At 39.1% G+C, this 25,567-nt stretch overlaps 1 annotated feature.

Annotated features, from left to right (window-relative positions):
* Positions 15,181 to 17,660: an enhancer, noted in NCBI's record as "VISTA enhancer hs1334". NCBI's record gives its function as "enhancer in: forebrain[5/5]" and the evidence as "EXISTENCE:transgenic organism evidence [ECO:0001131][PMID:17130149]".

The following is a 25,567-nucleotide window of genomic DNA, read 5'->3' on the forward strand; positions in this document are numbered from 1 at the left end:
AAATAAATAACAGGAAGAGCTGAAAATTTTTCAAATATTTGAAGATTCAACAAAACTTCTAAATGCATCCCAAGAGAAGATTAAAGAGTAATTAAAATATTTGGAGCTAAATGAAAATGGAATCACAACTTATTGAAATATATGAGATACAGTAGAAACAGTACATAAAGATAAATTTATAGCATTAAATGAATGTATTAGGAAAAAAGATGTAAAATCAATAACCTAAGCTTCTGCCTTAAGAAACTAGAAAAAGACAATCCAAAGTATGTAACAAGGGAAAAATATATAAAGTATAGCAGATATTAATAAAATAGAAAACAGTAAAACAATAGAGAAAATCATGAAACAGGAAGCTGTTTCTTTGAAAAGATCCATAAACTTACTAACATTTACTCAAACTAATAAAGAAAAAAAGAGAGAATGCACAACTTACAAATACTGGAAATGGAAATGAAAGAGGTGTATGGGTTATGACTACAAAAAATTGTGGACATTAAATGGATAATAAATATAGTATATTTAAAACTGTATACGCACAAATTTAATAACCTATATAAAATGGACAAATACCTTGAAAGACACAGTATACTAAAACTCACAAAAGAAAAAATAGATGGCCGATGTGGTGGCTCACGCCTGTAATCCCAGCACTTTGAGAGGCCGAGGTGGGTGGATCACGAGGTCAGGAGATTGAGACCATCATGGCCAACATAGTGAAACCCCGTCTCTACTAAATATACAAAAAATTAGCCAGGAGTGGTGGCAAGCGCCTGCAGTCTCAGCTACTCAGGAGGCTGAGGCAGGAGAATCTCTTGAACCCGGGAGACGGAGATTGCAGTGAGCCGAGATGGCACAACTTCACTCAAGCCTCTGCGACAGAGGGAGACTCCGTCTCAAAAAAAAAAAAAAAAGAAGATAACATGAGCACTCTTACATCTATAAAAGGAATAGAATAAATAGGTAATAACCACCCCCCCCCCCGGCCAATGGTTCCAGGCCCAAATGGGTTTAGTGGTGAGTTTTATCAAGCATTTAAAGAAGAAATTGTATCAATTTTCCACAGACTTTTCAAGAAAATAGAAGTACAGAGAACACTTCCTAATTCATTCTATAAGGTAAATATTACCCTTTGACCAAATCCAATAGACATAACAAGAATTAAAAACTATATATTGGCTGGGTGTGGTGGCTCATGCCTGTAATCCCAGCACTTTGGGAGGCCAAAGCGGGCGGATCACCAGGTCAGGAGATTGAGACTATCCTGGCTAACACGGTGAAACCCGGTCTCTACTAAAAGCACAAAAAAAAATTAGCTGAGCGTGGTGGGGGCGCCTGTAGTCCCAGCTGCTCGGGAGGCTGAAGCAGGAGAATGGTGTGAGCCCAGGAGGCGGAGCTTGCAGTGAGCCGAGATCACGCCACTGCACTCCAGCCTGGGTGAGACTCCCTCTCAAAAAAACAAACAAACAAAAAAAACTATATATCAATATCTCTCATGAACAAAGATTCGATAATTCTTCACAAAATACTAGCCAGTTGAATCTAACTATGTATGTATTCTAGGTATGCAAGTATGCAAGACTGGTTCAATATTAGAAAATTATCTGCAGAATTTCCCAAATCAACAGGTTAAGGAAGAAAAATAATGTGACTGTATCAACCGATGTAGAAAAATCTTATGGCAAAATCTGTTTTGCTGTTTTTGGGGGTTTTTTTTGTTTTTTTTTTTTGAGACGGAGTCTTGCTCTGTGGCCCAGGCTGGAGTGCAGTGGCGCGATCTCGGCTTACAGCAGGCTCCGCCCCCAGGGTTCACGATCTTATGGCAAAATGTATCACGCATCCATAATTTGAGAAACTCTCAGCAAACCAGGAATTGAGGTGAATTTTCTTAACTTGACAAAGAACATCTACAAAACCTCTAAAACTATCATACTTAATGATGAGAAATGGAATGCTTTTCCCCAAAGGTTAGAAGCAAGAAGAGTTTTTTTTTCTTTCACCACTTGCAAAATGAAACCACCACACTGGAAGACAGATGGGCCGTTTCCTACTGCCCATAGTTGCTATACTATATGTAAAACGAAAGTCTTACATATAGTATACCAATTGTGTTTTTGTTTGTTTGTTTTTTGTTTTGTTGAGATGGAGTCTCGCTCTGTCTCCCAGGCTGGAGTGCAGTGGCGCGATCTTGGGTCACTGCCACCTCCGCCTCCTGAGTTCAAGTAATTCTCCTGCCTCAGCTTCCCAAGTAGCTGGGACTACAGGTGCCCACCGCCCTGCCAGGCTAATGTTTTTTGTTTTTGTTTTTGTTTTTTGTATTTTAGTAGAGATGGGGTTTCACCATGTTGCCCAGACTGGTCTCGAAATCCTGAACTCAGGCAATCCACCCGCCTTGGCTTCCCAAAGTGCTAGGATTACAGGTTTCAGCCACTGCGCCCGGCCTCAACTGTGTTTTTAGGTGGTTATCTACCTTATTTGAAAACTATGTCCACACCCAAACTGGCACATGAGTGTATATAGCAGCTTTGCTCATAATTCCCCAAACTGGAAGAAACCTAGAAGTCTTATGATTGATAAATGGATTCACACACACACACACACACACACACACACACACCCCACAGTGGTACGACATGTAAGGGAATATTATTTCAACTAAAAAAGTAAGTGATCTGCCTAAAGATTAAGTGAGGAGGTTTAATAGGTGAAGCACATAGGCATTATTTGGACCAGTCAGACTAGTCTGTAGGATACCATACTGTGGAAACATGATACTATGTATTTGTTAAAAAACAAAGAATCTCACAGCACAAAGAATGTCACTTAATATATGCAAATTTTAAAACAACAACAAAAAATGTAGGTGTTCTGGGGATCCTGGAATGGAATGCAGAATGTGATAAAAAATTTAAACTACTACAAATGTATAAAGCCACCTCAGTCTAGGGAGGGGGAAACGTGCTGAAATAAGCATCTTAGAAAACGCGCTGACATAAGCATCTTAGAAAATGCATGAGCTGGCTGGGCGTGGTTGCTCACGCCTGTAATCTCAGCACTTTGGGAGGCTGAGGCAGGCGGATCACGAGGTCAGGAGCTCAAGACCATCCTGGCTAACACGGTGAAACCCCGTCTTTACTAAAAATACAAAAAAAATAGCCGGATGTGGTGGCGGGTGCCTGTAGTCCCAGCTACTAGGAAGGTTCAGGCAGGAGAATGGCGTGAACCTGGGAGGCAGAGCTTGCAGCGAGCCTAGATCGTGCCACTGCACTCCAGCCTGGGCAACAGAGCAAGATTCTGTCAAAAAGAAAAGAAAGGAGAGGAGAGGAGAGGAGAGGAGAGGGGAGAGGAGGGGAGAGGAGGGGAGGGGAGGGGAGGGGAGGGGAGGGGAGGAGAGGAGAGGAGAGGAGATGCATGGGCCTTCTGTGGTGGCTCACACCTGTAATCCCAGAACTTTGGGAGGCCAAGATGGGTGGATCACCTGAGGTTAGGAACTGGAGACCAGCCTGGCCAATATGGTGAAATCCTGTCTCTACTAAAAGTACAAAAATTAGTGCCTGTAATCCCAGCTACTCAGGAGGCTGATGCAGGAGAATTATTTAAACCTGGGAGGCAGAGGTTGCAGTGAGGCAAGATCGTGCCACTGCACTCCAGCATGGGCGACAAGAGCAAAACTCCATCTAGAGAAAGGAAGGGAAGGAAAGGGAAGGGAAGGGCCGGGAAGGGGAGGGGAGGGGAGAGGGAGGGGGAGGGAGGGAAAGAAGGAAGGAAGGAGGGAGGGGGAAGGAAGGAGGGAGGGAGAAGGAAGGAAGGAAAGAAGGAAAGAAAGAAAGAAAGAAAATGCATGAAGACTGAAAGCAAGAGAAACTGCAAACAACCCACGTGCTCTGGTTGGTATAGTTGGTTCCTACAGGAAATGGGATAGTGATTCTGATATTGATAGAGAATAAATGTATATTGGAACTAGACAGTTAAGCAAATGGATGGCAAATAAGAGATAGGAGCCAGGTTTCTCACTGATAAAGTGGGAGATTACATATAAGCAAGGGGAGGAGGCCAGAATGATCATGTGATAAAGGAATTGAGTCGTAGACATCAGTATGAACTTACTAACACTTACACATATTACACGTAAAAATATTTAGAGTTACGTGTATATACACAGCTTCGTATACACACATTTATTTCCTTGCTCTATAAGCTAAGACGGTCTAGAACCAATGATATGCCAGCAGAAATGAGCATATCTAACACTTAAGTCTTCAATTCTTGAGTTTTTGTTTGTTTTGAAACAGTTTCGCTCTTGTTGCCCTGGCTAGAGTGCAATGGCACGATCTTAGCTCACTGCAACCCCTGCCTCCCGAGTTCAAGCAATTCTCCTGCCTCAGCCTCCCAAGTAGCTGGGATTACAGGCGCCCCCCACCACACAAAGCTAATTTTTGTATTTTCAGTAGAGACAGGGTTTCACTATGTTGGCCAGGCTGGTCTCAAACTCCTGACCTCAGGTGATCCACCCGCTTTGGCCTTCCAAAGTGCTGGGATTACAGGCATGAGCCACTGTGCCCAGCCTAAGTCTTGGTTTTTAATGACTCCAATCAAGCAAACCAGACTCCTTGGAGAAATGACTGATTCTAGAAATGGAAATAGAACAGGAAATAATACATGATCTGCCTGGAACATCTAGTTAGGCCAGAAAGTAAGGAAGTATAAAAACACCACCACCACCAAAACCCATAATGTAAACACTCCCAGTGGCCAAGGCTAGAACATTTGAGCAACAAAATAAATAAAGAAGTATTGGATTATAATCCAAAATATAAAATAAATATCTGTGAGCAAATAGTCATATAAGTACATTTTTGAATAAACAAATAATTGAGAGACGGGACAAATATCCCATGCAGAAGAATTCCAAATAATTTATGTAGACACTTAGCTTTCAAGGAAGTAGAACATAATTTCTTCCTCCTTAAGTGTTCTTTCCAAAAACAATACAGTATGAATAAGGGGCAAAAACAGTAGCTTTACAGGAGAAAAACCTGATGAGCACTACCTTAGACAAGTGATCAAGGTCAACATCAACAGGTGTAAGTCATGTTGATGAGTCTGAGCCTTGATGTGAGATGGTGAAAATGGCACTTCATCTCTGCAGTCTTTCTCCCTCAAACCCCAAACTCCAGTTTAAACATGAAGGGGAAAAAATCCAACATATTAAAAAAAAAAAAAAGTCAGTTTACAAAATTCCTGACCAGTACTCCTCAAAATTCTCAAGGTCATCAAAAACAAGGAGTCTGAGAAATTCTCGTCATCAAGAGGAGCCTAAGAAGATACTGACTAAATGCAGTGTGGTGGTGTCCTAGGTGGAACCCTGGAACAGAAGAAGATTAGATACAAGATAAGGAAGTCTGACTAAAGCAGGGGCTTTAGTTAATAATGTATAAAAATTGATAATGTAACAAATGTAGCAACACTAAAAATAAAGGAAACAGGGTAAGGGGGAAGGGTTATTATATTCATAATATTCATGTAAATTGAAAACTGTTCTTAAAAAGTTTGATAAAAAATGCATTTAGGGATAATTTGTTCTACTGTTTCTCCAAATACATTGTTGACCTAATATAATCAAAAGGGTCAGAATCTAATTTAAAGAGAGTTTATTCAAGTGTGACTTGAACCATTGGGAAACTCCAGCTTGAAAGGAGTCAGTGTTTTGAAGCAGGGAAGTTAAGAGTACATTTATATAGACAGAAACAGGAGGGGTTTTTTTTTGTTTTTCGTTTGTTGTTTTTTTTTTTTCTGAAACGGAGTCTCCCTCTGTTGCCCAGGCTGGAGTGCAGTGAGTGGCTAGATCTCAGCTCACTGCAAGCTTCGCCTCCCGGGTTCTCGCCATTGTCCTGCCTCAGCCTCCTGAGTAGCTGGGACTACAGGCGCCCGGCCACCACGCCTGGCTAATTTTTTGTATTTTTAGTAGAGACGGGGTTTCGCTGTGTTAGCCAGGATGGTCTCGATCTCCTGACCTCGTGATCCGCCCGCCTCGGCCTCCCAAAGTGCTAGGATTACAGGCGTGAGCCACCGCGCCCGGCCAACAGACAGGAGTTTTTAGCAGGACCACATCATTCACACAAGGGTGGCACATAGTTACCACTTTTGTACGGTAACGATGATTGGTTATATGCAGTGTTTCTCTTGAGGAAGGATATATTTACATTTTTTTTTAACAGAAAGTGTAGTAGTCGTGGGTTTTCTGTCTTCTAGTCTAAGCAAAACAACAGAGGGGAAGTTAATCACTAACAAAGATCATTAATTAAGAAGGCAGGAGGTTTTTGTCCCTGATGTCATTTAGTAACCGCATGTGACTCCGATCACAGCCATTTCTCTCTTAATGTGTTATTAGGGGTTCCAACAGCTTTTAAATTTCATTTATTTTCAGAATATCATGGGTTAGTTGTTCCTGAGGATATTATTAAGAATGCATGTGAGGCCAGGTGCGGTGGCTCATGCCTGTAATCCCAGAACTTTGGAAGGCCAAGGCGGGCAAATCACGAGTTCACAAGTTCGAGACCAGCCTGGCCAACATGGTGAAACCCCGTCACTACTAAAAATACAAAAAATTAGCTGGGCATAGTGGCAGACACCTGTAATCCCAGCTACTTGGGAGGCTGAGGTGGAAGAATCACTAGAACCGGGAAAGGGGAGGTTGCAGTGAGCCGAGATCGCACCATTGCACTCTAGCCCAAGCGACAGTGAGACTCCATCTCAAAAAAAAAAAAAAAGAATGCATGTGAGCCACTGAACTGTCTTCTAGGAAACTTTAATATGGATAAGGGAAATTATAAATTTCTAAGTGGATTTATAGGATATAGTGCTTCTAAAAGTATTTAAGATATCAAATCCTGAAACAATTTCAAGAATTAGTGCTCCTTGAAAAACATTTTAGGAAATGCTGATGTTTTCAGCTATTTGCAGATAAGTAAACAGAAATTTAATCACGTAACTTGCCTAAGACATACACTTAAATTGACAAGTCTCTGATGTTGAACCTGCAAACTCTTAGCTTTCATTCTCATGCTCTTTCAATTCTACTTCTGTATTTTATTTAATTTAAAAGTTCGTTGGTGGGCAGTGAGAAAAATGGAAATAAGAGCAAATAAATTCCAGATGAACAGAAAGGATTATTAGCTAATAAGATAAACATAAATATATCAGGAAGGGCGAGGAAATGGAGTTGGAGTATTGGTGATAGACTGGTTCATCATTCTGCTAAACAGATCAGGTCAGTAGAATTTTTTTATTTTAACATTTTTCATTTTATTTTTAGTTGACACCAAATAATGGCTTATATTCATGGGGTAGAAGAGTGATATTTTGATACATGGATACAATGTGAAATCATCAAATCAGGGTAATTAGCATATTTATTGCCTCATTCATTCATCATTTTTTTGTGTTAAGAACATTTAAAATCCTTTCTTCTACCTTTCTGGAAATATATTAATACAATAAAGTATTGTGAACTGTATTCAGCCTGTAGGACTGTAGAACACTAGAACTTATTCCTCCAATCTGGATATAATTTTGTGTCCCTTAACCCAGCTCTGCCTATCTTCCCCCCTCTCTCTCCTTCCAGGCTCTATTAAACATAATTAGTAATTTTTTTCTTTTTTCGTGAGACGACGTCTCGCTCTTGTTGCCCAGGCTGTAGTGCAATGGTGTGATCTCGGCTCACTGCAACCTCCGCCTCCTGGGTTCAAGGGATTCTCCTGCCTCAGCCTCTTGAGTAGCTGGGATTACAGGCGCCTGCCACCACGCCTGGCTAATTTTTGTATTTTTAGTAGAGACAAGGTTTCACCACATTGGCCAGGCTGATCTCGAACTCCTGACCTCAGGTGATCCGCCTGCCTCGGCCTCCCAAAGTGCCGGGATTACAGGCATGAGCCACCGTGCCTGGCCGGTAAAATTTTATATATATTGCATTTACATGCCCAAATCCAATATTCCATCAACATGTCGGCATTTGTAATGCCTAAGTTTAAAATATCAATTTGCTTATATTAACAATTATTTTTCTCTGTATAAACATATAAATACAAAGCATAACTGTTTGTATTTAAAATGTCTTAAATGTACATATAATCTTACAAATTCTAGCTTTGCATTTCTCTCAAATTTCAGTAAGTCTCTGATAAATCATACATCTAACAATTTCATTATGCACTGTTTCTTCTTTTATTGAAGCAACTATTAAAATGACACTTTATCCAGCAGCTTTCTTAGAATAATGACATCAGTGATTATTACTTTCTCCAGTGAAACATAGAATAGGAAATGTCTATAGTCTCACACAAATAGTGCAAAGAATGTCTAGATCTTTAATAGAATCATGCCACTGAATTCTTGACAATGATGATAAAGAAATTAAATTTAAGATACTTAATTTATAATAAAAATGACCAATGACCAACTCAATTTATGTGGGATTATTTATGAGCCACGTACAGCACTATTCATGTTGCCTATTTTACAACAACCTTCCAAATTAATCCTACTTCAGTAGGGTTACTTTACATGAGTAAAGTACTTTGGTTACTTTACATGAGTAACCAAAGTCCTGAATAAGAAAAAGGGAATCTGTCCAAAATCACATAGCCAATATTCACAGCTTTGGAATGCACATGTGTCTGATTCCAAAGCTATTGCACTATCCGTGGCATTGCACTGTCTTATAAAAGATAACCAAATATTTTATGTTTTCTGTTGCTCCCTTTCTCTAAGCATCTCTTTATGAGATGCTAAGCTGGCTAGCTATGCTAAAGATCAGGGAAAATTACCAGTTAGAGATTGTGAGGTTGTTTGTGCAGGCTCAGCATATAACTTCCTTAATTTGTATCTAATGTTGTTTAGATACAAGAGTGACCCTGAGTGAGGTGGCTATAGGCAGGGAGTGGCAGCTGGCTCTTTTCTTTCAGGGTGACCTTGACCTTGGGCAGCTGCAGAGCATGTGGATCCCAACCAGAGGAAAGTTTGTGTGGGATTTCAAGCAAGGGCATTCTGTGTACTTCATTTATTGAAGAGACAACGTCTTAATCTTGAAGATACTGAAGGAGGGAGAATTCCAAGCCCTTTGAAGATATTGCAAGAGGGCCCGCCTGTGATTGTTCATGATGTACCATCCAAAGCACCATCGTGCAGTGGAATTCGGTGATATCTGAACCAAAAGAGACCCCTTTGGAAGATGTATGCATAAAGCATTGCTGGATACCCAATTAAAGTAGTTGTGTAGAGAAAAAGTACTTCGGTAGTTGTTTGAGTTGTAAAGTGTTCTAGCACTATTTATTTCTTTTTCAAACACTAATTTTACTTGAAAGTTGAAGTGGGGGGAAAATCTCAGATTTCTTGGATGTCTAACCCTCTGGTCCTTTTCATTTCCCTATGCTGCTCTTATCTTGGATCCACCATAGAAATATGATAAACATAGTGCAAACCCTCCAAGACATTAAGATGGTTCTCAGTCAACAGATAAGATATTTCTGAGGGGAAAAAAAAATCATTGGCTTAATTACATGAAACTAAATGATGTATTATTTCAAATTTCCTATTCTCTTTTTACAAAAATTTTCTTACTAAATCAACATATAGCAGCAGAAGTAGTTAGGAGCTAAATTATGTTTGGTCTTATATACATGTAAAGAACTTTAAATTTGATCTTACTGGCCTTAGAAAACCACTGTTAGCTTTCAATAGAGGATTGATATTAGGAGCTTTTAATTAATTTATTTATTTTAAAAAAGCACTCCAATGATCAGGCAGATAGAATAAATCTTCTATAATTGATATAACTCCTCCCTCAGCCTGCATCTATTTCTGCATTCCAGTAGCTTCCAGGGGCGGTAGCCTTAATGAAACCACAAGAGATGGATTATGCATGCCACCTACTCCCCCAACTTAGACTAGGACAATTTTCTGTGTAAAAGGCTAAATCTCCAATTCCAACCTCCTAAAATTCAAGCTTGTAGGGTAGCCCAAAGTAAAATTAATGTTACAGTGTCAGAGAAAGACAGTTAAGTTTTGAAATAAAATTGTTCTCAGGAGAGGGAGAGCCTAGGGCATGTATTATACATCAGCCACAAAACAATGGCTTAATTAGGAATTTCCTCATACTTGAATCAAGACATTCTTTAGAACCTTAAGATTGTATGTAATTAAGAGTAGAAGTGGGGCCAGGCATGATGGCTCACACCTGTAATCCCCAACACTTTGGGAGGCAGAGGCGGGCAGATAGACTGAGGTCAGGAGCTCGAGATCAGCCTGGCCAACATGGTGAAATCCCGTCTGTACTAAAAATACAAAAATTAGTGGAGCGTGGTGGCGGGCACCTGTAATCCCAGCTACTCGAGAGGCTGAGGCAGGAGAATTGCTTGAACCTGGGTGGCGGAGGTTGCCATGAGCCGAGATCACACCACTGCACTCCAGCCTGGCCAACGAGAGCAAAAAACTCGGTCTCAAAAAAAAAAAAAAAAAAAAAGAGTAGAAATGGCTGAGGATAGGTTCCACCCTAACCTACTGGAATGACTTTGAATCAGCAAGGCCTTCCCACTATCCTGAGATGAGAAAAGAAAATTGTTGCCCAGGAAGCCAAGAAAATGTCAGAAAACCATGGAGTGTGATCAATGGAGACAAACAATACAAAAAATGAAGGTATGGAGACCCAGTGTTTCTTGGTGCAGGGATAGACTGGGGACTAAATGTAAAAGGCTGAATCACACAAACTCACATTTTTTGAATCTGGAAGACTCAACTGTGAAGCTGGCAAATGCAGCCATAGGGCAAAAAAAAAAAAAAAAAAAAAGCCATTTAAAAAGTACTGATTCAATTTGAATTCCTGACATCTGAAAAGAACACTAGATGTACTCCAGCATGCGCCAGGATGCATGAAAATTCAAAACTTCGTTATTGTTGATGTGCTTAGTGCTTATATACATAACACCATGTTAATATATGGATTTGTCGCTAATATTTAAACATAGAAAACAAGCTATACCCATTGAAATCTGTATTGTTTGGGAGGAAGTGGACTGCACTTCTTGTACTTAAGAAACACTTGTAACAATTGGGAATTTTAAATTCTGGGACTCAATTTTAAAGGAGTAATTTCTGTCCTTGTAACCATTTGTGTAATCCTATGACTTTCTTGAGAATGCTGTTTACTATCTTAGGATATCGTTTCTACTAGGACAAAAAAAATTTAATTTTCCAAGGTTCTGGAATATATATTGTTATTCCAGTGTTAAAATATATTGATTTTATTAATATTTATTCCTCAGAACTTAGAGATTAACATTTTAAATTATAAACCTTACTGACAAAGTTGTATACATAACTACTCTAAATTCTTAATGAAACTAGACACTTAGATGTTAAGATAGGAAACAAGAATGTTTGAATACAAAATTATTTGGACTAAGAATACAACCTAAGAAAAATGAAATTGTTTTGGTGAAATTGTTTGGTGAAAATTGTAATTAATCAATAATGGGAGTCAAATAGTTCAAAAGAGTGAATGCAGCTGAGATAGTTTAAAATGCTAATAAAATTAAGGGAAATGACTTAGAGCTTAAACAGCTAAGCTCTAAGTAAAATATAATGCTAGACTGGATAGTATTTATTTTTTGAGACGTAATCTTGCACTGTTGTCCGGGCTGGAGTGCAGTGGCGCAATCTTGGCTCACTGTAACCTCTGCCTCCTGGGTTCAAGTGATTCTCCTGCCTCAGCCTCCCGAGTAGCTGGGATTACACGCATGTACCACCATGCCCAACTGATTTTTTGTATTTTTAGTACAGATAGGGTTTCACTATGTTGGCCGGGCTGGTCCCCTACTCCTGACCTCATGATTCGCCTGCCTCGGCCTCCCAAAGTGCTGGGATTACAAGCGTGAGCCACCATGCCCGGCCTAGACTGGGTAGTATTTAATGATAATTCTATTTTCACTAAAAGCATCCAAATAAGAAATAATGCACTATATTCAGGAGAAATAAGAACTGGATAATGGTGGGGTAAATAGATGTCATTTCAGAAACTTGAAGTATGTAATTCTATGGATTTTTAGCAAAAATAAAATATTGATTTTATATAAAAATATTATATATTAGGCCGGGTACGGTGGCTCACGCCTGTAATGTCAGCACTTTGGGAGGCTGAGACGGGTGAATCACCTGAGGTCGGGAGTTTGAGACCAGCCTGACCAACATAGAGAAACCCCATCTCTACTAAAAATACAAAATTAGCCCGGCATGGTGGCGCATGCCTGTATTCCCAGCTACTCGGGAGGCTGAGGCAGGAGAATCACTTGAACCCAGGAGGCAGAGGTTGCCGTGAGCTGAGATGGCGCCACTGCACTACAGCCTGGGCAACAAGAGCACAACTCCGTCTCAAAAAAGAAAAAAAAATTATAATATAAAAATATTATTTCACCAGCTGCCTACGCTTAAAATGCAACGTACAACAGAAAAGCGGCCAGGCGTGGTGGCTCACTCGTGTAATCCAGCACTTTGGGAGGCCGAGGCGGGCAGATCACAAGATCAGGAGATCGAGACCTTCCTGGCTAACACGGTGAAACCCCGTCTCTACTAAAAATACAAAAAATTAGCCGGGCCTAGTGGCGGGCGCCTGTAGTCCCAGCTACTCGGGAGGCTGAGGCAGGAGAATGGCATGAACCCGGGAGGCGGAGCTTGCAGTGAGCCCAGATCGTGCCACTGCACTCCAGCCTGGGCGACAGAGCGAGACTCCGTCTCAAAAACAACAACAACAAAACAAAACACCAGAAAAGTTTGGCCGGCTGCGGTGGCTCACGCCTGTAATCCCAGCACTTTGGGAGGCTGAGGCAGACAGATCACGAGGTCAGGAAATCGAGACCATCCTGGCCAACATGGTGAAACCCCGTCTCCATTAAAATACAAAAAATGGCATGGCGCAGTGGCTCACGCCTGTAATCCCAACACTTTGGGAGGCCGAGCGGGGCGGATCACAAGGTCAGCAGATCGAGACCATCTGGCTAACACAGTGAAACCCCGTCTCTACTATAAAATACAAAAAAGTAGCCGGGCGTGGTAGCGGGCGCCTGTAGTCCCAGCTACTCTGGAGGCTGAGGCAGAAGAATGGCGTGAACCCGGGAGGCGCAGCTTGCAATGAGCCGAGATCACGCCACTGCACTCCAGCCTGGCGACAGAGCAAGACTCCGTCTGAAAAAAAAAAAAAAAAAAGGAAAGAAAAGCTTTACCACTGAATGTGTGGTATTAAGGAACTGCTCATTACTTGCATGGCTGTCTATTGTTTTTCCTAAAACCCAGAATTAAAGTCTTGTATGCAGGAATATTTCAAGAATATATTTATGATAAATTATATTTTTAAAAACAAAAAATGAAAGTGACTACAACGTCTGGCAACTTCTGTTTATTGAAACAATTAAGGTAACTCCATTATTAATAATATATTATTAGATGTCATAGGTCATTCAATATACTTTTGTTCGTTTGGTTTTTTTTTTGAGATGAAGTCTCGCTCTTGCTGCCCAGGCTAGAGTGCAATGGCGCAATCTCGGCTCGCTGCAACCTCCGCCTCCCAGGTTCAAGAGATTCTCCTGCCTCAGCCTCCCGAGTAGCTGGGATTACAGGCGCCTGCCACCACGCAGGGCTAATTTTTTTCTACGTTTAGTAGAGATGGGGTTTTACAGTGTTTGCCAGGCTGTTCTCAAATTCCTGACCTCAGGTGATCCACCTACCTCGGCCTCCCAAAGTGCTGGGATTGCAGGCGTGAGCCACTGCACCCGGCCAAATATACTTTTAAGTAGAAAACTTTGGTAACAAAGCAAATATGTATAATATGACATTATTGGCGTGAACAGGACCTAGAACAGCAACTGCCTAAGGAACTTTCCGTGGTGATGGAAAAGTTCTATTATCTGCACTGTTCAATATGGTAGTCATTAACCATAGATATCTTTTCCTATTTATTTAGTGAAAATATTGTGAGAATATAAGAATTCCTTTAAAATTGAAAATAAGTGAAGTTCAAGAGGAAATGAGATTAACATATTTAATTTTAGTTATATTTTCTGTACATAAGTAATTATACTAGTTATAACTTGCCATTATATCATACTGGTTATAAATAATGTTAAAAAACAGAAAACATAAGGAAATAAGCAAAAATTAAAAATATCTGTTAGGTCAGTTGTAGAGATGTGTAAATCCATAATCTAAACAACCTTGTATGAACCTTAGTGAAGAGAAATCTAGAACATTTTTGTGCAGAAGAAAGGATGTGTGGACAGATGAATGGCTCAGAACTCCTTGCTTCGTCATAATGACAAACGGGGACACATTCACTAAGCAAACATGTCTTGAGATGCATACTCTGTGTTTATAGGCACTGAGAGTAGTGCAATGAGCAGAGCTAAGCCCCTGTCCTCATTAAGTGCACATTCTTTGGGATGATTTTGAGCATACTGAGGTAGCTGATAACACAGTGAGTCTCATGAATCTCAACCGTTTGTTAGCCATTACGAAGATTTGCCATCCTAGAACTATCTGGCACAAAAAACTGGATTTGTTAATAAAATATATGTCATAAATATAGCTAGGGAAGTTATTTCAATTTTTTATTTTAGAATATCAAGTTTAAACTTTTTTACTCCAGAATCCTGCACTGTGAATAAAAAACAATGATCTCACATGCCATGTGGATGGTTTTGTAGTGATTTCTGCCCATCTCAAAGACACAGTTCACAGTAAGTTAGCTATGGAGAGCTGCAGAGGATTAGAGAATTTGAAAATCTTTACTAGGTTTGTGATTTTCACTTGTTAAAAATGTCAAGTTTTGTTTGACTTTGATTCAAAACTATACCCTTTTTAAAAGAATTTCACATGACTTATTTCTCACAAATACTGCCTACCTAATATGCCAATGCGTTTTTTAGTTATTTCATAGTATGAATGTCTAATATTCTTCAAAAGTATGGGAATGCCTAAGTCAAGGACACCTTCTCATTTTCTAAGGAACTGTTTTAAAGTACTTCATAAAGACAGTTATTGGTCCAGCATAATTAAATTATAAACTAAATGTTTTAGCAGATATTTAAAGGTTCTTTTAATTCACACTTATTCTAAAATTTGGAAAAACAGATTACTTCCTTTCTTGAATGTCTTTCCTGGAATTTTATTCTAAATGACTTTTTTTTACAATGAATATTGCCAAAAAGAAGAAGAGAACAGAATGCTCTGAGTGGGTCAAAGAATGCTGGAGAAAAGTAAAAGACACGAAATTCAGCATTGGTTCAGCCTTTCTTGGTTTGGTAAATTTTAAGAGTGATTTCTGGATGCTTGCCCAGGATTTCAGGAATGCCAATAAACAATCTGTAAAATAATAAGCACTACATTTCATTCTGGCAGAAAACTTTTTAAAAATCTATACTAAAGTCCGAACAAGCTCAAGGTCACTTCTGGGCTTAGGCCTCATATAGAATTTTTCCATAGACTTGGGAAAGAGAACAGAGTTTAAATACAACATGCAAAAGAAGGCTTCATTTGCTCACTCCCAAGTATCTCTTTGCACTTAAGAGTGCTTATCTGCAAAGCACAATGTTTCATTTCAATGGAATATTTGACACAGAGGCTCAATAGGGCTCCCACTCATATTTTACTTTAATTATTAGGCCCAAAATGTACAATCATTTTCTTTATTTATAAATAGCCTTTTTAAAGGAAATCAAAGTCTGACAAAGTTTGGATTTCCATGCATTTTTTGCATTAATGATGACATCAAACATGCACTCATTATGCTCTGTTAACCCTTCAGTCACCAATCCTAGCACTAGTGGCTGTGCATAACTAGTTTTTCCTGATGATCTAACTCACACTAAGGCCGAGAATCTAAAAAGAGTCCCCTTTTGGTTTAAGCTCTTGGGGCCACATTGTGTTTCTGTCACAGGAGTGATGGTAAGAGGGACTAATTAAAAGTCCAGTGAATGTGCCAGGGTTAAAATCACAGGCTCTGCTCATTAACAGTCGTTTACCTAAAGATATTTCCAAAGAATTCCTTCAATGTCTGAAAAGAACAGAACCTGAAGGGGGGGGAGGGAGGAATAAGTTGAGAGAGCCATTTAGAAATATTTTATATTAGAAGCAGAGTTTTGTTTTAATTCATGGATGCTGTCAATAGAAGAATTCAATTTAGTGAGCAGTTCAAATATCGTTTTTTTCCCATCGGTGCAGGCATGTATGTGTGCATGTATGAGTGTGTGTTTTAAAGGGGGTGGGGGATAGTCTCCCTAAGTCTAACGAGTAGAAAAAGAAATAGGAAAAAAACATCAGAACCATTTTGTTAATTGTCTTTTTCCTGCTGTTTCCATGGTAATACTGGCAGCCAGACTTCTCTGCAGAGTGACAGTCCAACAATTCACACACTACACCCTTTCAAGCACAATGAATGGCCGTGAAAGAGGCCGAACAGGCACCATTCAGGAAACATGTGATATCTACTCAATGCACTACCTTTCATCCACATTTTCCAAATTGCAGTTAATTTAATTCTAAACAAATGGCTAAGGGGTACAAATGAGGATTAGAAGGAAAAGAACATCTTGAGCTCTAATGGGGATGGTTTGTGTGAAGAACAATATAGCACTTTCTTCTGTTGCCAAGAAGGCTGGATGTGAAGATGTACTTCCCTCCTCATCTGAAGCCTTTGCTTGGACTCTATGTCAACAGTAAGAACCATGGCAGAAAATTTCTTGGCAAAACAGAGTTCGTGTAGGTTTTGGCTTCGCATTTGGAAACATATTAGATACAGTGTGATATTACTGCGTTTTACTATGAAATAAAATATAACATCAGAATTTTTACTGACATGTCGGAGCTACCACTTTCTATAAAGTTACATTTTTCTTATTCTTTTTTTTTTTTCTTTTTGAGATGGAGTCTCACTCTGTCGCCCAGGCTGGAGTGCAGTGGCGCAATCTCAGCTCACTGCAACCTCTGCCTGTCGGGTTCAAGCAGTTCTCCTGCCTCAGCCTCCTGAGTACCTGGGACTACAGGCGTGCGCCACCACACCCAGCTAATATTTTGTATTTTTAGTAGAGATGGGTTTTCACCATGCTGGTCAGGCTGGTCTTGAACTCCTGACCTCATGATCCCCCTGCCTCGGCCTCCCAAAGTGTTGGGATTACAGGCGTGAGCCACTGCGCCTGGTCACATTTTTCTTATTTAACATCCTTCAACTTTTGGTGAAGAAAAGCAGTAAAGTTCCCTGTAACAATTCACAGGACAAGACATTATCTTTATGCAGTCTAAAGTTACAATATGATTTGTATGTTTAAGTGTCAGTAAAGTAGGGCATAGTTACTTGAAAAACAAAAACACAACAGGAAAAGGTGGCATAAGGCCCTGCAAACTATTTCATGTTATTTGGTTGGAAGAATCAAGATGACCAGCTGCCATATTCTTATGAATTTTTAGATAAATGACTCAGAAAATTCAGGAAAATCCATTTGAGGATACAGCATATGTAAAGCAACATTTCTATTTCTATTTTTTGAATTAAGGTAGTGTTTTTTATTCCAGTGGTAGGCTTTACGTGTTACAATATTATGAGCAATTTGTTTAGAGATGCGTTAATAAGATAGCACCCTTAAAATTTCACATTTAGTATCACAAATGTACATCTAAGCGTATCATTATTCTGTTACATTTAAAGTTTTAAGAGATTATCCTGGCCAGGCACAGTGGCCCACGCCTGTAATCCCAACACTTTGGGAGGATGATGGGGGTGGATTGCTTGAGCCCAGGAATTCGAGACCAGCCTGGGCAACATGGTGAAACCCTATCTCTACAAAAAAACCCACAAAATTAGCAGGGTGTGGTGGCACACACCTGTAGTCCCAGCTACTCAGGAGGCTGAGATGGGAGGATCGCTTCACCCTGGGAAGTTGAGGCTGCAGTGAGCTGAGATCTTGCCAATGCATTCCAGCCCGAGCAACTGAGCAAAAATCCTGTATCAAAAAATAAATAAATAAATAAAATAAAATAAAAAAGAACATGCTTATTTATGTCTACTGATCTGATAGAGAAAAAATAATCCAAATAAATTTGCTAACAATCATGGTTCTCCATTACAACTTAGTTGTGTTTGAAATATAAGCATGCCTAGAAATCTATGTGCATCAGTGAATTCCACAATGATGATTACATAATATCCAAGTGACTTATTTGAGAGATACCTCATTGGTCTACAGAAAGTTTCTGATTTTTGACTCTATAGTAGTTTCAGAAGGATAGACTTTTCCTCAGCTCTGATTGGTAAGCTATCAAATAATCTATAAAGAAATGAGACTTTTAATAGATTTGGATTCTGAATGAATTGCCCCACATCTTTTCAGAAATTTAAATAACACTAGGATGATAGTATTTCAGATGCTTGACAATGGTCTTAAAATTCTTTTTTATTCATTTATTCTACTTTTCTCTAATGTTTAGGATCCTTAGTGTTGACAACCTACAGTTGCTGAAATGCACAGGACAAAAGGTCATTTTTTTCATGTATCGGAGCTGGTGTCCAGTGTTTCCTTGTGAAAAAGCATTATTTGATGCAGAGATTTAGGTGGGGAGCTGCCACTATTACTTCTGAATGTTTTGACCTGCTAGATGAACTGTTGATGGCTTTCTTGTGAAGAGGGGTAGAAATTGATACTTTTAGTGACTTCCATAGAGCCTGACATTATCATTTCAAGTCAAGGACCCAAAAATCATTTAGCACTAGGCACAGGCACAGGGTGCCCCACTGTCAGAGGGCTGGCAACAACGTAGCCTCCATTCAAGGCTCCCACCAAGACTTCAACTTTGTTTACTTGTTTTCAAGCCTCCACTTCCATGGAACTAAAACCTACCATGGAGATCTCTGCTTCTGAGATAACTTGAAAAAACCTGTGTTCAATCAGTGCCAAGCTCACTTCTGTGTGTAATTGTATCTCTTGGGGGAGAGGGAGAGGAAAAGTAATTGTACTATTAATAATATTTGTAAAATCCATGAATTGCAAACAATTCTTTTTTTTGTAATGTTTCTAAATAGAAAAAAAAGTTTATGTTAAATGTTTAGAAGTAGCCTATAGAGGAAGAAGCACAGGTAAAATTATTAGAAAGAAAGTGTTACAATGCCCAAAGAAAGCTCACTTCAATGGTTAGTTTGAGAAGGTGCACTTGTGGCTGTATAATGGTGCTTAAAAAGCTAAGTTGTGTCGGGCTGGGCACCGTGGCTCATACCTGTAATCCCAGCACTTTGGGAGGCCAAGGCAGGTGGATCACGAGGTCACGAGTTTGAGCAGCCTGACCAACATGGTGAAACCCGTCTCTACTAAAAATACAAAAAAATTAGCCAGGTGTGGTGGCACACGCCTGTAATCCCAGCTACTTAGGAGCCTGAGGCAGGAGAATCGCTTGAACTTGGGAGGTGAGATCATGCCACTGCACTCCATCCTGGGCAACAGAGCAAGACTCTGTCTCAACAAAAAGAAAAACAAAGCTAAGCTGTGTCTATCCATAGGCCTTAGTAAGGCCCTTTCTCTTTAGGAAAAGAAAGTCTCTTGGACTAGATTGCAAATTTAAAAAAAAAAAATTTCATGGGGCCAAGAGCAGTGGCACACATCTGTAATCCCAGCACTTCAGGAGGGCCAGGCGGCTGCATCACTTGAATCCAGGAGTTCAAGACCAGCCTGGACAACATGAGGAAACCCTATCTCTACAACGAATACAAAAATTAGCCAACTGTGGTGGCGCATGCCCGTAGTCCCAGCTACTAAGGAGGCTGAGGTGGGAGGATGGAGGTTGAGGCTACAGTGAGGCATGATCACACCACTGCACTACAGCCTGGGTGACAGAGTATGATCTTGTCTCTGAAAATAATAATAATAATGACGTTGTCCAGGTGTGATGGCTCATGCTTCTAATCCCAGAACTTTGAAAGGCTGAGGTGGGAGGATCACTTGAGCCCAGGAGTTCAAGGCTGCAGTGACCTGTGATTGCACCGTTGGACTTCAGACTGGGTTACAGAGCAAGACCCTGTCTTAAAAAAAAAAAAAAGGACATTATTTTGATAAATAGAGAATTAAAAAGGAAGCACCAAGAATCAAACCCCATGACAAATTGACTATACACTCTATTACGGTACACAGTAGTTTATTTCCTCCCATATAAACAAGTAATCAAATTTTTCTGCAGAAGATTTTAGTATCCAAGACTCCTAGAGATTCGCAAGTATATATGGGAGACTCAGGAAACTCTTGAAACAGCATGCCATAGTTGGTATGTACCTGTCTAAGTGCATTTTTCTGAGGAGAGGGTCACGATTTTATTCAAGTCTCAAAAGATGACATTACCCAAGAGTTTGAACATCAGTGTTTGCCGAGTATTAAGAACATTGGCGCTAAATTGCTGTGTGCAGCATGTGACTTCCTCAGCTTCTATTTCCCAGAGGAACTGAAAATACCATCACCATGAAAACTAACAAATTTGCACTCAAATTCGGTTAGTTCATTTAAAACAAAAACATGTGGGGTTTGTCTATGTGCATTGGTAAGAATGGAGCGTCCCTGACCTCTTTCTCACACTTGGTCCAAATAAAGAGAAAAGTTACTAAACTCAGGAGCCTTCTGTAAGTTGATGATAATTCACAAGTGATTTGAAGTATTTGCATTTACACTATTGAGATGGCACAGAAATGACACCAAGAATGAAGACTCGATGACTTTTCTTACTGTGGGGCACAGATACGAGTCTGATTTAACTTTTCTCAGAAACGGATCTTCTGGCCTATTTAAACTTTATTCGGAGACTAACAAAGAGCAGCTGAAAATCTTCCTCTTTAGAAAAGATGGAGAAAAAAAACAGGAATGAATCACATAGCATCGTCATTATGGGCATATTAACTCCCTATGACAGGGAAATATGGGTCCCTTAAACTACCTCAAAAGCTTTAGCAAACTGTGACTTAACAGCAGATGTTTAGCTGTGAATTTAACTTGTCATCTTTAAAGACAGTATTTAATTGTTTCCCTTCATTCAGGCAACAAATAGCTCTTTTAGGAAGGAAGGGCAATGTTACTCACATTCTTTCTACCAAAAAATGTTGTTATTCTTATTTTGTTTTAGCAGAAGATATCAATCAATGTTGGTCATGGTAGCCATGTGTCTATGTGAAAACAATTAGGATAGCAAGAACCATTAATGCTTTTCTCTTATCTGGGCATTCAATTAATCTAATGATGTCATCAACAAAGACAGAGAGATGAAGAATGAAAAACTCTAAATTTGAGCTCTTGCTGGCAATATAGTTTTAAATATTTCTATACAAAATAAACAACCTCTAAAATGGCAGCTTCAACTTAATCTCCATAAACCTTTTTCTTATATGACAATATCCTACGATTCAACTCTTGGTTATTTAGGTTCTTATTTTGTATACAATGTGTTCTTTTCAGCTATTCATTATGCCATTTTTAGAAGATAAAATGGAATAGAAAAAAAATTGTTGGATTTTCTGTATTGCTGTAATTAGTGATGATTAACTAATTTGAAAAGTACTCTAAAATGAGAATTTTACATCAATCGGTTCACTTTACTAATAATCTTATTTCTTTTAAAAAATATGTGTGGGTTTGCCTTCCCTAAGCATGGTTCTAAGGGCTTTGTATGTTAATTAATCCTAATAAACATGCTTCCGTTAGAGGCTGTGATTATGAACATTTTTCAGATAAATTTAAAAAATGGGTTAAAAAAATGTAAGTAACTTATTCAACATACAAAGCTCATACATCATAGAGCCAGAATTTGAAATCAGGTACTAGAGCTCAAAAGTTCTGAACTTTCCAGGAATGTGAGACCAGCCTGGGCAACATAGTGAGACCCCATTTCTACAAAAACAAATATTAAAAATTAGTCAGGCATGGTGGTACACTCCTATATTCTCAACTACTCAGGAGGCCGAGGCAGGGGGATCACTTGAGTTTAGGAGTTTGAGGCTATAGTGAGCTATGATGATCATACTTGCATTCTAGCCTTCGTGACAGAGCAAGAGCTTGTCTCTTAAAAAAAAAATATTTGGAGGTTTTAACCCAGATTTTTTTTTTTTTTTTTTTTTTTTTTTTTTTTGAGACAGAGTCTCACTCTGTCACCAGGCTGGAATACAATGGCACGATCTCGGCTCACTGCAACCTCCACCTTCCAGGTTCAAGCGTTTCTCCTCCCTCAGCTTCCCAAGTAGCTGGGATTACAGGCACCAGCCACCACGCCTGGCTAATTTTTTGTATTTTTAGTACAGATGGGGTTTCACTATGTTGGCCAGGCTGGTCTCAACCGCCTCACCTCGTGATCCACCTGCCTCAGCCTCCCAAAGTGCTGGGATTACAGGCTTAAGCCACTGCACCTGGCCTAATTTTTGTATTTTTAGTAGAGACGGGGTTTCACCATGTTGGCCATGATGGTCTTGATCTCCTGACCTCGTGATCCACCTGCCTCTGCCTTCCGTGAGTTTTATTTTATTTGTAATTGCTCTGTCTTTTTCATCCTTTAATATTCAACATTTCTTTGTTCTTGTTTTATATATATCTTTTATAAATAGTAATTACATGATCTTTAAAAACAAATCTGATAGTGTTTGTATTTGAGCTGGCAAATTCAGTCATTAACAGTTTTGGTGATTACTGATTACTGATATATTATGATTTTTTTACCATCTTACTTTAAGCTTAACATATGTCTTACTTTTCTTAGCTTGTTATTTCTTGTTTTATTCTTGCTTTGTTATTTCTTGAACTCTGTTTTGCTTGTTTTTGTATTTCATTGTCTTTAAAAACCTAACGATTTATGTGTGTCATCTTCAATTTCTTTCTTCAGTGTTTTGTGGTTTTCCTTGTAGAGGCTTTTCACCTCTTTGTTTAAATTTATTCGTAGGTTTTGTTTGTTTGTTTGTTTAAATAAGATTACTTTGGGCTTTTTAATTTGTCTTTTGTAGCTATTGTAAGCAGGATTACCTTCTTGATTTCTTTCTCAGATTATTATTGGGTTATAGAAATGCTACTGAATTTGTAGGTAGATTTTGTATCCTGAAACTTGACTGAATTCATTTGTAAAATCTAAGCTTTTTTGATGGGAGTTTCTAGGTTTTTCCAGATAAGATTGCATCATCAGCTATGTAGGCATTGCGTTTTTTAATTTTATGTGAATAATATTTATTTGGATTTATATATGTTTACCATTTGCTTTGCTCTCTATTCCGCCTTACATCTCAGACCTTCCTTCCAAGTTTCTTTCTTTCTGAAATACCTCATTCAGTATTTCTGGTAGTGTTTGTGTGTGGATGATAAACACACTCAGTTTTACTATTCCACCATGTTCTCATTTGTATTGCTCTTATAGAGAAGCATGCTTTCAGTCCAATTGTTCCTCTGTAAGCAATTTATCTTTTTCTTTTGTATTTTTATAATATATTTTCTTATTTTGGATTCGGCACTTTCATTAAAATGTGTTCAGGTGTATATATTTTTAAATTTATGCTACTTAATATAGGTTGAATTTTCTTTACCTGTGACTTTTTTTGGCGGGGAACTGGAGTCTTACTCAGTTGCCCAGACTGGAGTGCAGTGGCGTGATCTCGGCTCACTGCAACCTCCACCTCCTGGTTGAAGTGATTCTCCTGCCTCAGCCTCCCGAGTAATTGGGATTATAGGCACCCGCCATCACGCCTGGCTAATTTTTGTATTTTTGTAGAGACAGGGTTTCACCATGTTGGCCAAGCTGGTCAAGAACTCCTGACCTCAAGTGATCAGCCAGCCTCGGCCTCCCAAACTGCTGGGATTACAGGCGTGAGCCACTGCGCCCAGCCTACCTGTGACTTTTTTTTAGTTCAGAAAATTCTCAGGCATTTTCTTTTTCACATTGTCTGACTTCCATTCTATTTGCCTTCTCATTCTGGGAGACATACTAGCCCTTCTCATTCTCTCCTTCATAGCCCTTAATCTGTCTTTCATCTCTCTACCATCTCTTTGACCATTTGTGCTGTATTCTGGATACTGTCTTTAGATATAAAATCGGTTCACTAATTCTCTATCAAGTAGAATCTAATCTGCTATTTATCCAACCACCAAGTTATCCATTTCAACTTTTATTTTTTATTTCTAGAAATTGTGTTTCTAGAAATAAACCTTATCTGACTGAATAGTTCTTGTTGTTGATGGTTTCTCACTCTTGAAAATTATAGTTTTCAAAAAAACATTTACTACATGGTTATTTATATTCTCTACCTAATATTTCCAATATATGGAGTATTTAGAGTTCTAAATCTGCTGTTTGTTGCTTCTGCCTTCTTTCACACACAGTGGTACTTTTCCTTGTGTTGGGGATCGGTGGGTGGCTCATATTTAGTTAATCCTAATCCATGGAGTTGAGAGGTGACACATTTGGAAATGCTTTCCAACAGACAGCATTTGCATGCTTTGAGCTCTATTGCCTAATCTATGTAAGGAGAATAATGACATTTTTTTTCCACTTAAAAGAATCTAATTGGCCAGATGTGGTGGCTCACGCCTGTAATCCCAGCACTCTGGGCGGCCGAGGCGGGTGGATCACGAGGTCAGGAGATCAAGACCATCCTGGCTAACACGCTGAAACCCTGTCTCTACTAGCAATACAAAAACAAAATAGCCGGATGGGGTGGCGGATGCCTGTAGTCCCAGCTACTCGGGAGGCTGAGGCAGGAGAATGGCAGGAACCCAGGGGGCGGAGCTTGCAGTGAGCCGAGATCGTGCCACTGCACTCCTGCCTGGGCTGCAGAGCGAGACGACTCCGTCTCAAAAAAAAAAAAAAAAAAAGAAAGGAAGAATCTAATTAAGTTGTTTGTTTTAAAGAACTTCAAAAAGATATACATGACCTGAATGAAAATCTGAACAACATGTAACAATATGTAAGTGTAAGAGGCTATTATTTAAAATTAATATTTTAGAAGAATGATACAGCATCATGCACTTTCTAAATTAGTTCACCAGATTATTCGGTTATTTTATACAAGAGGAACTCAAGTTAATTAATGTAACATCAGTATGATGTGTCTAGGTATGGTTTTCTTTGTATTTATTCCAGTTCAGTTGTGAAGTTCTCCTTGAACTTGTGGATTCTTGCTTTAATTTATATTGCAAATTACTTGGCCACTATTTTTTCAGATATTTTTTCTGACTCATTCTTTTTTCTCATTCCTTTTTTCTTTAGCTCCATGAAAACATGTGCTAAAACTTTTCCCCATGTCTCATGTATCTCTTAGGTGTTTTCTAAATGTTTTGATCTTTTAGGCTTTCTGTATCTCAGTTTAGATTTTTTTTTCTAAGCTATCTTCAACTTGACTAATCTTATTCTTTAACTGTATACAATTTCCTATTAAATTTGCCTACTGAGTTATTAAGTTCAGTTACTGCATGTTCAAAATCCAAAATGTCCATTTGATTCTTTTTAACACTGTAGTTTTCTACATCTCTTTACC

Source organism: Homo sapiens, chromosome 10 (assembly GCF_000001405.40).
Source record: "Homo sapiens chromosome 10, GRCh38.p14 Primary Assembly".
In the NCBI taxonomy this organism is placed as follows: domain Eukaryota; kingdom Metazoa; phylum Chordata; class Mammalia; order Primates; family Hominidae; genus Homo; species Homo sapiens.